Source organism: Homo sapiens, chromosome 20, assembly GCF_000001405.40.
Source record: "Homo sapiens chromosome 20, GRCh38.p14 Primary Assembly".
Classification (NCBI taxonomy): domain Eukaryota; kingdom Metazoa; phylum Chordata; class Mammalia; order Primates; family Hominidae; genus Homo; species Homo sapiens.
This window is the reverse complement of record NC_000020.11, coordinates 45394488-45409738: the sequence shown is the minus strand read 5'-3', so window position 1 is coordinate 45409738 and position 15251 is coordinate 45394488. Positions and strand designations below refer to the sequence as shown.

At 47.9% G+C, this 15251-nt stretch overlaps 1 protein-coding gene and 2 long non-coding RNA genes across 15 annotated transcripts in view, besides 1 other annotated feature; 1 reads left to right on the top strand and 2 right to left on the bottom strand.

Annotated features, from left to right (window-relative positions):
* The window catches only part of DBNDD2 (dysbindin domain containing 2), a 4618-nt gene extending 872 nt beyond the window's left edge, over window positions 1-3746 (bottom strand). Inside the window, exons 1-3 of one of the 9 annotated variants that reach the window (NM_001197139.2) lie at window positions 3718-3746; window positions 1133-1279; window positions 801-938 (exon numbers count right to left, since the gene is read on the bottom strand). In NM_001197139.2, coding sequence (NP_001184068.1) covers window positions 801-938; window positions 1133-1271 — 277 coding nt within the window. In that variant the 5' untranslated portion in view covers window positions 1272-1279; window positions 3718-3746. Of the gene's footprint in view, window positions 1-702; window positions 939-1132; window positions 1451-3006; window positions 3688-3717 lie in introns of those variants that run through there. The other 8 variants (NM_001197140.2, NM_001048222.3, NM_001048221.3 and 5 more) reach the window with 8 other exon arrangements.
* Window positions 1-15251, bottom strand: part of SYS1-DBNDD2 (SYS1-DBNDD2 readthrough (NMD candidate)) — a 47442-nt gene that overhangs the window by 872 nt on the left and 31319 nt on the right. The window contains exons 4-5 of the long non-coding RNA NR_003189.2: window positions 1133-1279; window positions 801-938 (exon numbers count right to left, since the gene is read on the bottom strand). This is a non-coding gene — a long non-coding RNA (SYS1-DBNDD2 readthrough (NMD candidate)). The remainder of the gene's footprint in view (window positions 1-800; window positions 939-1132; window positions 1280-15251) is intronic.
* On the top strand, window positions 1850-15251 carry LOC107985404 (uncharacterized). 5 transcript variants are annotated; one of them, XR_007067608.1, is made up of 5 exons: window positions 1850-1990; window positions 3307-3625; window positions 3919-4022; window positions 5432-10960; window positions 15171-15251. It is a non-coding gene; the product is annotated as an uncharacterized LOC107985404 (long non-coding RNA). The 5 variants fall into 5 exon arrangements; XR_002958571.2 differs by lacking the exons at window positions 3307-3625; window positions 15171-15251 and having other exon boundaries at window positions 5432-5486; window positions 10829-11966; XR_007067607.1 differs by lacking the exons at window positions 3307-3625; window positions 15171-15251 and having other exon boundaries at window positions 5432-5486; window positions 6594-11966.
* Window positions 2313-2862: an enhancer, noted in NCBI's record as "H3K4me1 hESC enhancer chr20:44035517-44036066 (GRCh37/hg19 assembly coordinates)". NCBI's record gives its function as "activates a minimal SCP1, AML or CMV promoter by ChIP-STARR-seq in naive H9 embryonic stem cells {active_cell/tissue: H9 hESC(naive)}" and the evidence as "EXISTENCE:reporter gene assay evidence [ECO:0000049][PMID:30033119]".

Here is a 15251-nt window from a genome sequence, read left to right as displayed (position 1 = left end):
CTGGGATCTACAGTCAGGTCAATGAATGGCAAGAGTTCAAGTTCCACCTACATCACTTATTGCTGCTGAGTGGCTTTGAGCAAGTCACTTTCCCTTTCAAGGACTCTGTTCCTCCTCTGCAAAATAAAAGGGATACCTACATCCCCAAAGGGTTTTGGGAATAAAACCTAAGAATGCTTATAAAATGTCTGGCATAGTAAGCCATCAATAAATAGTAGCAGTTTTAATTAAAAGAATATCTATCTTACAAGTTAAGCATATGGGCTTTGGAGTCAGACAGACATGAATTCCAGTTTATCTACCTTCTGGCTACAATGTGACTTAACTTCTCTGAGCCTAATTTCCTGCTTATAAAATAGAGATTATATCACCTACCCTGACAGGACGTTGTAAGGATTGAGATAATATATGTAAAGTACTTTAGTACAGTATTGGAACCTACTAAAGTACTCAATACATATTAATATCATTATAATGACTAAAACTACTTAAGTTGCCAAATATAAAAATTACAATTTTACATTATTTTAATTATAGTGACTAATTATATTAATATAACAAATGTAAAATTAAAGAAGAGATTGACCGTTCCCAGAATTTTGGATTAGAGATGTGTAACCCAGTTCTCCCTCAGGGTCAACTTCCCTAAAATCAGAACAGGCAGCTGTTTCATTGGTAGAAACACCCACTTCCAGCCCTTACTTGTGTACTTCCCCAGCCCAGCCTTGTAGCCTCGTTTCAGAGCCTGACATCCGGCTCTGGCTGACTGGCACTGAAGTCCCCAAAGCAGAGGGGCATACCAGACGACTGGGGGGTTGGTGGAGGATCTTCGCAAGGCAAGAACACATCTGCTGCATCCGGGTCCCCAAGGTCAATAAGTTCTACTTGCTCCAGTGTGTCCACATTCACTTCCATGGATGAGATACTACCTATGGGGGCTGCGGATCAAGAAGTGGGCAAGTCAGGAGGACCCAAGCTGCACACCAGGACAGTGAGAGTTACATGTCAGGTCCCAAGTTAGAAGCATAGAGGGCCAAGAAAACCAGAGGGGAGAGAGTGCCACAAGATTCAGGACCCACAGGACATCCTCCCTACCCTACCCCAGTCCCTCTTCTCAGGACTTGGGACTTACGTCTCTGCGACTCGAGATGCAGATGGGACAGAGGAAAGACAAACTCTGTCTCTGGCTGTAAAATGTCCTCGAAGAATTTTTGCCGCTCCCGAAGGCGGAGCTGCTGGCGCTCCAGGGCGGCCCGAGGATTTGGGTCCATGTCAGCTCCTGCGGGTAGAGGAGCAAAACAAGTACAGCTGCAAAGTCGAAAGAGAAGACAGAGGGGACCTGGGCTTGGGGCGCCCCACTGCAGCCAGCATCCCAACAGTGGGGCCCCTGGCTCCGGCCTGGACACCTCTGCCCTTGGTGACCTCTTTCCCCTTCCCTGAAACCAAGTGTGTCCCACAAACCAAGTCTCATGCAGAGGCGGGGCTTGCCCTAAGCTCCACAAAGGGGATGCCAGTTCCAGGCACCACAAGAGAGATACTCTGTATTCAGGGAACACAGCCAATGCCCAACTCTCCATATCATGCCCTCCTGAGAGGGGTTGGAGGGATTGGTTCAGCACAAATGGAGGAGGTACGTTTTCCCCTTAATTGGCCCCGCTTGCCTCAGAAGGCCAGGGACAGGATAGGATAGAGACAGAGATCTCAGGGTGGAGGGTTCCCTTCCTCCAGTGCTGCAGCCCACCCCTTCCCATCCTTCAAAACCCAGACAAAGGCTAAAGCAACTCCTCCCGCGCCCCTCCTTTTCTCTCCACCCACACAAACACGTACACACGCATGTGCCATCTACCCCAAACCCTTGCTCTGAAGTCACAGGCCTGACTTCCAGACTAGGCTCTGCCCCTAAGGAAATCACCTTTCTGGTCTTAGTCTCCCCATCTGAAAATGGCATAACCAACCTACCTGCCTCAAATACAAGACCCTGCTTGTGAAGGTGAGCTATTTAGGAGACTACCATCTTTCCTTTGAACTCCAACAGCTCTTTATGCGTCCCCCTCCTGGGACACATCTCACTGACTTATCTCCCCATTAGTCAGTGAGGAGCAATTGGAAAGGCGGGTTCTGGGTCCAGTTCAGAGCAGGCCTCCTGACCCCTAGGGCTGAGAAGCTGAGACCCTGCCAGAGCACTGAGGCTATGGGCCAGCCCAGGTCGGTGCATTCATTCCCATTCGCTCATCTCCTTCCCGGCGTTCTGCTCTGAGCCCATCACCAGAGGCAAGGGAGTTTCTAGCTTGAGGATCAGACGTCATCCTCCGCAGACTGCCTTCCCCACCTCATCTGCACCCAGCGTATCCCAGACCCTGGCCAGCTCCACGGGCGCCACAGAGGTGGAGAGGGACCCAACCCCGACTGGCCAAGGCAGGGCCACGGAAGTCTGGGGAGACCGTGCGGCCGCGGGCTGGCGGCGGAGGAGCGAGGCGCTGACGCCGATTCCCGGGAAAGGCTCTTAGAGCTGCCGCCCAGGTCACAACGCTAAAAATACCCAGGGCCCCTGGAGCCTGTGCTCCAGCAGCGAGGAGGGGGAGGGAGAGGCCAAGGTGGGGGAGCTGACGGGGGCCAGGGGCTCTGGGACACCCCCTCTCTTTTCCCCTCCCCCTAACCCCACCGATCTCACGAGACTGAAGGAGCTGTCCCCCGGGGGGCCGCGGAGCCCAGAGCTGGAGAAAGGGAGTTGTTTACGCGACCTATAGGTACTGGAAAGGGGGTGAAGAGATTTGGGGGCAGGAGGCTGCCAGGGGCCGGGCAGGAGCCAGCGAAATGGAGAACTCCCTCTCGGTCTCAGCCCCACCCGCACTGGAGCCAGCAAGAGGGAAAAAATTCCCTAAAAAGGGACACGAGGCGTCGGCGGAGGACGGGGGGAGGGCGCTCCCCCAAGGCCGTTCCCCTCGTGCTCCGGTCCCCTCCGCGGTCCACCGCGGCACCTGCGCCCACCGCCGCCGGAGCCCCTACCTGCAGCGCTGGCGCCCCCTCTGACTCAGTCCGTCCGCTCCAGCGAGGCCGCGGCGGGGGCGTGGGAGCGAGCCGCGCCGGCCGGGGTGGGGCTGCGCCTCCAGGGCTCCCGGGGGACCGACGGGCCCTGGGAGCCGGGAACGAGGAAGAGGCGGGAGGCGGAAGTGGGGGAGGGGCGGTGGCGGGCTCACTCGCTCGCAGCTCGCCCGGCGGTCGGAGGCAGCCCCTGCGAGCGCGGCTACTGGTACTTCCAAGGCGGTCAAAAAGTTACCCGCACCCATCCTTCCTCCCTCCGCCCAGCCGGACTCCTCTGCACCACCCTCGCCACCGACGCCGGTGCGCTAGTCTCCGCTCGCTCGGATGCACTTGCTGCGCCCCCGCCCCGCGCAGACCCGCGGCGGGCGCCCGCGCCGGTTCTGCCCACGCACACTTGATGCTCTGCGCCTTTTGGGCAGCGCCCACGCAACGACTACGCACCCGAACCCTGCCTCCGGCACCCTTGGCCACACTCGCCACACTTACACGCGCGCACTTCTCCAGAGGACGCACGATGGGAAAGAGAGAGTTGGGACCCGCAGGAGGGGGCAGGGCACTGACCCGGTGCCGCCCAGCAGGGCAGGTGCAAGGCGGCGGAGGACCCCTGCCCTGGGACTCGCCCGGCTGCCCCTGATTCCTGGCTCTGGGACTAGACAGAGCCGCCGCCCAACCTACCAAGCACACTGGGCGGGGTGGGCGCCGGGCCGGCCGGGCGGGTCAGAGCTGGAAGGGTGGGCCGCTACGCCGCGCCCCCCGACGCCGGCAAGGAGCCAGCACCTCCACGGTGCTAAGAGGGGCGCTGCGCTGCTGGCCAGGCGGGGGTGGAGGGGCGAGGCGGCAACTGCGAGAGGAGAAACGTTTGCCCTCTTTTCGCAGCGTCTCCTGGCTCAGACCAGTGCTAGAAGTGTCCAGTCTAGCAGCTCCTGGACCAAGACTCCGTGGCCATTCCCTTCCTCCTGCCTTCCATCCACCCCCTTACGGTCAGAGCTCCGAAGGCAGCGTGGTGACGGGTGCGGGGAGGGGAGTGGGGGGATCTCTCTGAGATACTTCTGCCTTGGGGTCACTGGATCATTCATTCGACAAACATCCGCGAGCAAGTCAGGAACTAGGAGTCATCCTTGCCACCTCCCTCTCCCTCGCTGCCTATATTAAAATACACCTCCATTTCCTGTCGATTCTCTTTCCTAAATATCTTTCCAGTCCACCATTCCTTCCGTTTGCCCCACCACCTCCCGCCTGGGCTCCTAATGCAGTAACCTTCTATCTGGTTTTCTTTTCTTTTTTTTTTTTTTTTTGAGACGGAGTCTCGCTCTGTTGCCCAGGCCGGACTGCGGACTGCAATGGCGCAATCTCGGCTCACTGCAAGCTCCGCTTCCTGGGTTCACGCCATTCTCCTGCCTCAGCCTCCCGAGTAGCTGGGACTACAGGCGCCCGCCACCGCACCCGGCTAATTTTTTGTATTTTTAGTAGAGACGGGGTTTCACCTTGTTAGCCAGGATGGTCTCGATCTCCTGACCTCGTGATCCACCCGCCTCGGCCTCCCAAAGTGCTGGGATTACAGGCGTGAGCCACCGCGCCCGGCCCTATCTGGTTTTCTTGTACTCATTCTGGCCCGGCTACACTCCATTCCCTGCATTACAAGTCAGCTGTCATTTCAGAACACAAGTCTGGTGTGCCCCCCTCGACCCCCCCGCCACGCGGCGTTGCCTAAATTCCTCCACTGTTAGAATAAAATCTGGACGCTGATATCTGAGCTAAGTCTTGAAGACATGAGTTCAACAAGCAGAAAAGAGGGAGAAGGGCATGTGCAGAGGGAGGGAAGTGTGAACAAATCATTGACACATTCAGGTTTCCCTGTCAGGGGACCAGCACTCTGTACACTAAAGCACTGCCTCTTAACATTATTGGGATCTCAAAACAACCCTGTGAGATAAATACAGCATGCAATTTTCCCACTAGTTTACAAGCATGGAAACTAGTTTGTGGGAGGCAACAAATGCAATGGTTAAGAGCACAGGCAATACAGTCAGACCCTCTTGGGTTGTAAACCTATTGATTCCTCTAGCCAGCTGGGTAAACACTTCTCTGATCCTTGATCTCTTACCTACTAAAGAGGAATAATTAATCCCTCCCTCTTATAAGATAATTTATATAAAATGGTTAGTTACAGGACTTGGGCACTTTGGAAATGCTCAGTAATCGTTAGCTGTTTTGATGGTAATGGGTTCTGAGAAAGGGAGGGAACTGCTGTCTTCCACAAATTTCTGAAATTATAGGAAGTAAGCCCTAATTGTTAACACTTCCACAGAGCTTATTATGTGCCAGTCACTATTATAAGTGCTTTACAAAAATTAACCCTTTTAATCCTCTTGCTGTTTCCACTTTACAGATACAGAAGTTGAGATACAGAGAGGTGAAGGAACTTGTCCCAGGCCCTACAGCTAGTAAGTGATGGACCTGGAATTTAAGCCCAGGTAGACTGCCTCTAGAGACTGTGCTTACAACCCTTTTATCCTGTGCCTGTTCCCCTTTTATCCTGTTGTAGTTTTCATCTTCTAAGAACTATTTCATTGGGTTGGTTTGATTCTTATTTCTCATTAATGGATAGAGTAGATACTTCATCTAATTTTCTAGCACAGAAAATGAGGGCCAAGTCAGGAGTACAGTGGATAAGAGCTTAGCTCACTCCCAGTCATGTCCCCATTTTCAGAGATGTATCCCTTTTTTTTTTTGACAGAGTCTTGCTCTGTTGCCCAGGCTGGAGTGCAGTGGCACCATCTCAGCTCACTGCAACCTCCACCTCCTGGATTCAAGCAATTCTCCCACCTCAGCCTCCTGAGTAGCTGGAATTACAGGTGCACTCCACTATGCCTGGCTAATTTTTCTATTTTTGGTAGAGGGGGGTTTTTGCCCTGTTGGCCAGGCTGGTCTTGAACTCCTGGCCTCAAGTGATCTGCCCACCTCAGCCTCCCAAAGTGCTGGGATTATAGGCGTGAGCCACTGCGCCTGGCCCAGATGTATCCTTCAGAACACGACTCCATGGATTATTTTGAGCCCAAGATGAAGAAAGATCAGGAACCTCTGTCCCTTCTCTTTGTCAGATATTTGCCATAAAGAAGGAATGGAGAGGGGGAAACATCTAACCTGAAAATATTTCAGGGGGCTAAACTGGAAGGGTGTCACCCAAAAGAAAGACCCAAGCAGCAGGCCAGGAGTAGGTGGCCAAAACGTTGAATAGCACCGTGAAAAGGTAGACGGCTTGAGACTCCGGCTTCCATCTAGGATGCAGAAACCTGGGAAGAGCATCATTATCAAACTAATAACAGTTTTTAAAAATTGTTGGGTAATTTACAAAATCACAACTTTTGTCAAACTTATCAGAGACCTAAGGTTGCAGAGCAACCAATTAACCAGCATTCCAAAGAAGGACAGGAGCCTCCAGGAAGTGACGGGATGCAGGCACTCACTCAGTTGTGTAGCAAGAGAAAGACAAGCTCTCCTTACAAGTAGGTTAGAAGAGTTCAGCTAATGTTTATGTTTTTATTTTTCAGAGACAAGGTCTCACACTGTCCAGAGGCTGAAGCACAGTAGTGCAGTCATGACTCACTAAGCTCAAGGTATCCTCCCACTTCAGTCTCCCAAGTATCTAGGACTACAAATGCACATCACCACACATGGCTAATTTTATTTTATTATTATTATTATTTTTTGTTAGAGATAGGGTCTTGCTATGTTGTCTAAGCTGGTCTCAAACTCCTGGCCTCAAGTGATCCTCCTGCTCCAGCCTCTCAAAGTGCTGGGATTATGGGTGTAAGCCAACATGCCAGGCCAAAATTTTTATGGAATTACTAAAGACCCAATATAGCTAGCATGACTACATAAAATTTGTAGGAGATATAGACACTGAAGTAATCATAGAAACAACAAAACTCAAACCTAATTCAACTCCTGAAAAAACTGACTGAATCCCCCACACTAATGGCCTAAGAGAAGAAGAGATACGACAATTTCCAGGCATAAATAATAATGAACTCAGTCCTTACTATTATAAGCACTGTGTCCAAAATTCAATAAAAAATTACAACACAGGCTGGGTGCAGTGGCTCACGCCTCTAATCTCAACACTTTGGGAGGCCAAGGTGGATGGATCACCTGATGTCAGGAGTTCAAGACCAGCCTGGCCAACACAGTGAAATCCCATCTTTACTGAAAATACAAAAATTAGCTGGGCATGGTGGTGGGTGCCTGCAATCCCAGCTATTTGGGAGGCTCAGGCAGGAGAATCGCTTGAACCTGGGAAGCAGAGGTTGCAGTGAGCCAAGATCGCACCATTGCACTCCAGTCTGGTTGGCAAAAGTGAAACTCTATCTCAAAAACAAACAAACAAAAATTACAACGCACACACACACACACAACTTTTAAAATACCAAAAAAACCTACTGTCAAGAGACAAAGCAGTCCAGGTGTGGTGGCTTATACCTATAATCCAGCACTTTGGAATGCCAAGGCAGATGGAATGCTTGAGGCCAGGAGTCTGAAGACCAGTCTGGGCAATATCGTAAGGCCCTGTTTCTATATTAAAGAGAGAAAGAGAGAAAGAGAAAGAGAGAGAGAGAGAAAGCAAGACCAGGTGCAAGATGCAGATGCTGTAATTATCTGACACAGAACTTAAGACAACTATAAGTAATACGTGAATATGAAAGGCTCTTGTGGAAAATGTAGACAATATGAAAGAACAAAAGGGGAATTTTTGCAGAAATATGAAGACTACAAAAAAAGAGACATAGAGAAATGCTAGAAATAAGAAAAAACACATACATATAACAGATTTGAAGAATGCTGTTGACAGGCTTATCAGTATACTAGTCCTTTCTCACGCTACTACAAAGACACACCTGAGACTGGGTAATTTATAAATGAGAGATGTTTAATTAACTCACAGTTCCACAGGGCTGGGGAGGCCTTAGGAAACTTACAATCATGGCAGAAGGGGAAGCAAACACGTCCTTCTTCGCATGGCAGCAGCAAGAAGTGCCCAGCGAAGGGGGAAGCCCCTTATAAAACCATCAGATCTCATGAGAAGTAACTCACTATCACAAGAAAAGGATGGGGGAAACCACCCCCATGATTCAACTGTCTTCACCTGGTCCTTTCCATGACATGTGGGGATTATGGGAACCACAATTCAAGATGAGATTTGGGTGGGGACACAGTCAAACCATATAATTTTGCCCCAGCCCCTCCCAAATCTCATGTCCTCACAATTCAAAACACAATTATGTGCTTCCAACAGTCCTCCAAAGTCTTAACTCATTCCAGTATTAACCCAAAAGTCCAAGTCCAAAGACTCTTCTGAGACAAGGCAAGTCCCTTCCACCTAAGAGCCTGTAAAATCAAAAGCAAGTTAATTACTTCCTAGATATAATGGGGTTATAGGCATTGGGTAAATACCCTCATTCTAAATAGGAGAAATTGAAGGGGTAAATTGGCCCAAACAAAGGGGCTACAGGCCCCATGCAAGTCTGAAATCCAATAGGACAGTCATTAAACCTGAAAGCTCCAAAATAATATCCTTTGATTCCAGGTCTCATATCCAGGTCACACTGATGCAAGAGGTGGGCTCCCACAGCCCTGGGCAGCTCCACCCCTGTGGCTTTGCAGGGTAGAGACCCCCTCCCTGCTGCTTTCATGGCTGCCATTGAGTGTCTGCAACTTTTCCAGACACTCAGTGCAAGTTGTTGGTGGATCTACCATTCGGGGGTCTGGAGGACAGTGGCCCTCTTCTCACAGCTCCATAAGCAATGCCCCAGTGGGGACTCTGTGTGTAGGATCTGACCCCACATTTCCCTTCCGCACTGCCCTAGCAGAGGTTCTCCATGAGGGCTCCGCCCCTGCAGCAGACTTCTGCCTGGACATCCACGCATTTCCATACAACCTCTGAAATCTAGGCGGAGGTTCCCAAACCTCAATTCTTGCATTCTGCACACCTGCTGGCCCAATACCTCATGGAAGCTGCCAAGGCTTGGGGCTTGCACCCTCTGAAGCAATAGCCCGAGCTGTCCTTGGCCCCTTTTTGCCATGGCTTGAGTGGCTGGGATGCAGGGCACCAAGTCCTGAGGCAGCATACAGCAAGGGAGCACTGGACCTGGCCCAGGAAATCATTTTTCCCTCCTAGGCCTCTGGGCCTATGATGGGAGGGGCTGCTGTGTAGGTCTCTGATATGCCCTGGAGACATTTTCCCCATTGTCTTGGTGATTAATATTTGTCTCCTTGTTACTTATGCAAATTTCTGTAAGGGGCTTGAATTTCTCCCAGAAAAAAATGGGTTTTTCTTTTCTATCACATCATCAGGCTGCAAATTTTCCAAAAGTTTATTCTCTGCTTCCTCTTGAATGCTATGCCACTTAGAAATTTCTCCTGCCAGATACCCTAAATCATCTCTCTCAAGTTCAAAGTTCTACAGATCTCTAGGGCAGGGGTAAAATGCCACCAGTCTCTTTGCATTGCAAAAGTGAAGTTTACTCCAGTTCCCAGCTAGTTCCTCATTTCCATCTGAGACCACCTCATCCTAGATTTCATTGTTCATATCACTATTAGCATTTTGGTCAAAGCCATTCAACAGTCTCTAGGAAGTTCCAAACCTTCTCACATTTTCCTGTCTTCTGAGCCCTCTAAGACTTTAGGAAGTTCCACATTTTCCCACATTTTCCTTCTTCTTCTGAGCCCTCCAAACTGTTCTAACCTCTATCTGCTACCCAGTTCCAAAGCTGCTTCCACATTATCAGGTATCTTTATAGCTGCACCTCATTCTACCAATACCAGTTTACTGTATTAGTCTGTTCTCACACTGCTATAAGCACATACCTGAGACTGGGTAGTTTACAAAGAAAAGAGGTTTAATTGACTCACTGTTCCAAAGGGCTGAGGAGGCCTCAGGAAACTTACAATCATGGTGGAAGGGGAAGCAAACACGTCCTTCTTCATGTGGCAGCAGCAAGGAGAAGTGCCTGGGGAAGGAGGAAGCCCCTTATAAAACCATCAGATCTTGTGAGAACTAACTCACTATCATGAGAACAGGATGGGGGAACCACCCTCATGATTCAATTATCTCCACCTGGTCTCTCCCATGACACGTGGGGATTATGGGAACCACAATTCAAGATGAGATTTGGGTGGTGACACAACCAAACTATATCAATCAGTAAACTCGACATAGCTGAGGAAATAACCAGTGAACTTGAAGATAGGTCAATAGAGAATACTCAAATTGAAACAGAAAAAGAAAAGAGTGAAACAAACAAACAAAAACCAGAACAAATATCCAAGCGCTAACATATAAGTGATTCATATCCCAGAAGGAGAAGAAACAGAGAAAAAAAAATATATATATGTAGATACAATATTTATTTGTAGATATAATAGCTAATAATTTTCCAAAAATAATGAAAGATATCAAACCACAGAGCCAAGAAACTCACAGAATCCAGAAAAGATTAAATGCCAATATACAAACACAACAAAGAAGCACATGCAAACACAACCTAATATATCATATTCAAATTGCTGAAAACCAAAGATAAAGAGAAAATATTGAAGGCATCTAGAGGAAAAAGGCACACTCCCTACAGAGGAACAAAGAATTACAGAAGACTTCTCATCAGAAATTATATAACCAGAAGATAATAGAGTCATATCTTTAAAATGCTGAAAGACAAAAAACTGCCAATCCAGAATTCTATACCTAGCAAATACATCTTTCAAACATGAAGGAAATACACTTTTTCAGATCAAAAAAAAAAAAAGAGAGAGAGAAAATTCATTACCAGTGGACGTTCTGTAAGCAGAAGAAATATGATACCTGAGAGAAACTTGGATCTACATAAAGAAATGATGATCTCTGGAAACAGATAGAATAAAGGTAAATATAAGAGACATTGTTTCTCATTTTTACTCACTTTAAAAGGTAACTGCTTTACTAAAGCAATGCATTGTGGCCTCATAGCATATATAAAAGTGAAATGTATGACAATAACAACAGTAAAAATGAGGAGATGGAGGAATGGGAAATATGCTGTTAAAGGGTCCTTATGATATATAAGAAGTGGTATAACATTATTTGAAGATAGACTGATTAAAGATATAGTAAATTCAATAGCAACCACTAAAAAAATTTTTTTAGAGAGGTGTAAGTAACAAGCCAATAATAGAAAATGGAATCATAAAAATGCTGGAATAGGTAACTATGTGAGATGATGGATATGTTCGTTTGCTTCACTATAGTAATCACTTTACTATATCTATGTATTCCATAACATCATGTTGTATACCTTAAACATATACAATAAAATTTATTTTTTAAAATGACTGTTGAACATGAAAACAAGTACATATAATAATTTTTTCTAATGTTGGGAGGCTTCCTCCCTAGGCCACTTGTGTCCAACGTGTCTTGCTGAGTATGTCAAGATCACAAGGCCCAGACCTCTCTTTCACCTGGGTCCTTGTTCAGGATTGTTAGTACAGCTAGAGTTTTGAGAGGTGAGATCATTTCTCAGACCAAGGCAGGCTTGCTTACTGCTTGCTATAAAAATGTCCTGGGACCAGGCGTGGTGGCTCATGCTTGTAATCCCAGCACTTTGAGAGGCTGAGGCAGGAGGATCACTTGAGTCCAGGAATTCGAGAGCAGCCTAAGCAACACAGTGAGACCCTGTCTCAAATAAATTAATTAATTAATAAAATAAAATAAAATAAAAAGTGCTGGGCCTAGGTCCCTCAGCTACAATGCAAACCCACTGTGTGAATACCATGCATCTGGGCTCACTGCATCATCTGTTGAATGTAGGACCAGGGGAACCAATACAACTATGCTGATGTTCACACTGTTTGTTGTGCTATGAATAATAAACTATTTCAATCAGATGCAATACATCTTGTCTACTTGCAGCACCCATGAGATTGGGAGTTTTCCTTTTCGAAACATAATCCAAATCAAGGAAGAAAAAAGAAAAAAAGCACAGATGAAAGATTAGAAAACAAATAACAAGGTGATAGATTTTAATCCAGTGTATCAGTAAAAAGACAATCAATTAAAAGACAAATTAGCAGATTGGGAGCAAAGTAAGAGGCAATAATATGTTGTCCACAAGACCCACTTTAAATATAAAGAAATATATGGGTTAAAAGTAAAAGGATGTGTAGAGGAATTGGATCCCTAAAAAAAAAATGAATGGAGTAAGACACACCATACAAACATGAAACCAAGCAAGTTGGAGTGACAGTATTAATATCAGACAAAGTAGATTTAAGAAGGACTATTACCAGGGAGGAAAAGTGGTATTATTTAATAATAAAAGGTTCAATTCACCAAGAAGACTTAACAGTCATAAGAGTGTATATACTAACAACAGAGCTTCAAAAATATATGAAGTAAAAACCAGTAGACCTGAAATAAGAAACAGAAAAAATCTATATTGCACCTAGATAATTCAACCCTTCTCTCTCAATAATCAATAAAATAAGTACACCAAAAAAGCAAGGATATAGAAAACCTTAACACTATCATTAATTTCTCCTAATTATATTCATGACACTTTACCCACCAACAGCAGAATAAACATTCTTTTCAACTGCACATACAACATTCAATGAGAGATTCATCATATTCTGGGCAACAAAAACAATCCTCAACAAATTTAGAAGAATTTAAATTATGTTGTATGACCATAACAGAATTAAATAGAAATAATAACAGAAAGATAACTGAAAAACAATCCCAATACTTCAAAATAAAACATGAGTCAAAGATGAAGTCCAAGGGATATTAGAAAATACATGGCTGGGTACACTGGCTCAGGCCTGTAATCCTAGCACTTTGGGAGGCTGAGGCAGGTGGATCGCTTGACCTTGAATTTGAGACCAGCCTGGGCAACATGACAAAACCTCGTCTCTACAAAAAATATAAAAATTAGCTGGGCATGGTGGCTCATGCCTGTATTCCCAGCTATTTGGAGGCCTGAGGTAGGAGGATAACTTGATCCTGGGAAGTGGAGGTTGCAGTGAGCTGAGATGCCACCACCGCACTCCAGCCTGGGCAACTGAGCAAGACCCTGTCTCAAAAAAAAAAAAAAAAAAAAAAAAAGTGTTGAACCAGGCACAGGAGCTTATGCCTGTAGTCTCAGCATTTTGGGAGACTAGCTGGGAGGATCGCTTGAGCCCACAAGTTTGAGACCAGCCTGGGCAACATTGGCAGAAACTTCATCTCTACAAAATATACAAAAATTAGCCAGGCATGGTGGTGCATGCCTGTAGTCCCAGCTACTCATGAGGCTGAGGCAAGAAAATCGCTTGAGCCTGGGAGGTCAAGGCTGCAGTGAACCGAGATCACACCACGGCACTGTAGCCCAGGTAACAGAGTGAAACCCCATCTCAAAAAAATAATAAAATAGGCCGGGTGTGGTGGCTCACGCCTGTAATCTCAGCACTTTGGGAGGCCGAGGCGGGCGGATCACTTGAGGTCAGGAGTTCAAGACCAGCCTGGCCAACATGGTGAAACCCCGTCTCTACTAAAAATACAAAAATTAGCTGGGCGTGGTGGTGGGTGCCTCTAATCCCAGCTACTTGGGAGGCTGAGGCACAAGAATCACTTGAATCCAGGAGGCGGAGGTTGCAGTGAGCCTAGATCATGCCACTGCATTCCAGCCTGGGTGATAGAGCGAGACTCAGTCGAAGAAGAAGAAGAAGAAAGAAGAAGAGGAGGAGGAAGACGAAGAAAAAAGAAGAGAGAAGAAGAAAAAAGAAAGAAGAAGAAACAGCCAGGTGCAGTGGCTCATGCCTGTAATTCCAACACTTTGGGAGGCTGAGATGGGTGGATCACTTGAGGTCAGAAGTTCGAGACCAGCCTGGCCAACATGGTGAAACCCCGTCTCTACTAAAAATACCAAAATCAGCCAGACATGGTAGCATGCATCTGTAATCCCAGCTACTTGGGAGGCTGATGCAGGAGAATCACTTGAACTTGGGAGGCGGAGTTTGCAGTGAGCCGAGATCACGCCATTGTACTCCAGCCTGGGCAACGGAGCGAGACTCTAAAACAAAAAAAAGGAAAAAGAAAAAAAGAAAAACATATTGGATGGAATAAAATGGAAATTTTTGTGGCCACAGTCAGCCACAAAACACCTCCCAATGTTCCTTACCACCTATCATGTACATCCGGGCAGTCCTCTCCTACACTGTACCAAGGTTATGTCACGGGATCCTTTGGGTGTCACTTGGTCAGTGCAAAACCTCTGTGGCTGGTGGTGCCTCTGCTGGAGTTTTGCTTGTGCCCACTCGTTCTGCCCACTCACCTGGCAGGCTGTGCTTGGCTAGTGCAGCCCGGATCCCATGCCTACCAAGGGTAAGCCAGGCATGGAGTGGTGGGGGGGTGTGTGAGCAAGCGTGAGGTCCAGTCACCACACAGAGCCAGGCACACAAGCTGCCGCAGCCACGTGAGCAGCTCCAGGCACTGGCACAGGCACCAGCTCCATGCAAGGCTCTGGCTGGACCAGACCTACCCCAAGCGACCTCTGCTATAGGCACCAGCGTCTGGACCAGGGGAACGCAGTGGCACCTGAAAGCTCTGAGACACCAGGAACTGCAGAGCCCCAAAGAGGGTGTTACAGCATGTCACAGCCCTGCCTCAGGGAGCCCCGAGATCTGGGCCCCCAGAAGGGCTGCAGCTCTTCTCTCTTTCTCATCACCGGCAGCCGCTCAGCGAGGTGGGGGTGCTGTATTTCAGGGGGTGGAGTTTCAGCCCATTTGTGTTACTGCTCTTTCAGTCCTGCCACCCTGCTCCGGCCTGTGGCTCCTGGGCTGGCCTGGCCCCGCCACTGCTTCCTGTTGCATGGGGTGGCAGCCTGGCGCTGGCAGAGGGCAGGAGAACTAGTGTGTTACCGCTCTGGCTCGGAGAATCCCGAGGTCTGGGCCTCCAGAAGGGTCTCCACTCTTCACTCCAGCAGTTCAGGAACGTGTCACCACCTGCACCTCAGCGAGCTAGCCAGGAACGTGTTACAGCCCCTTTAGCTCCCACCTGCACCTCAGCGAGCCGGCCAGGAAAGTGTTACAGCTCCTTTTACTCCCGCATTTGGCAGGTCCTGAGTTCTTGACCAGCATCCGTGAAGAATGAGGTTACACAGACAACTGGAAGGTGAGCAAGGCAGAGAACAGCTTTA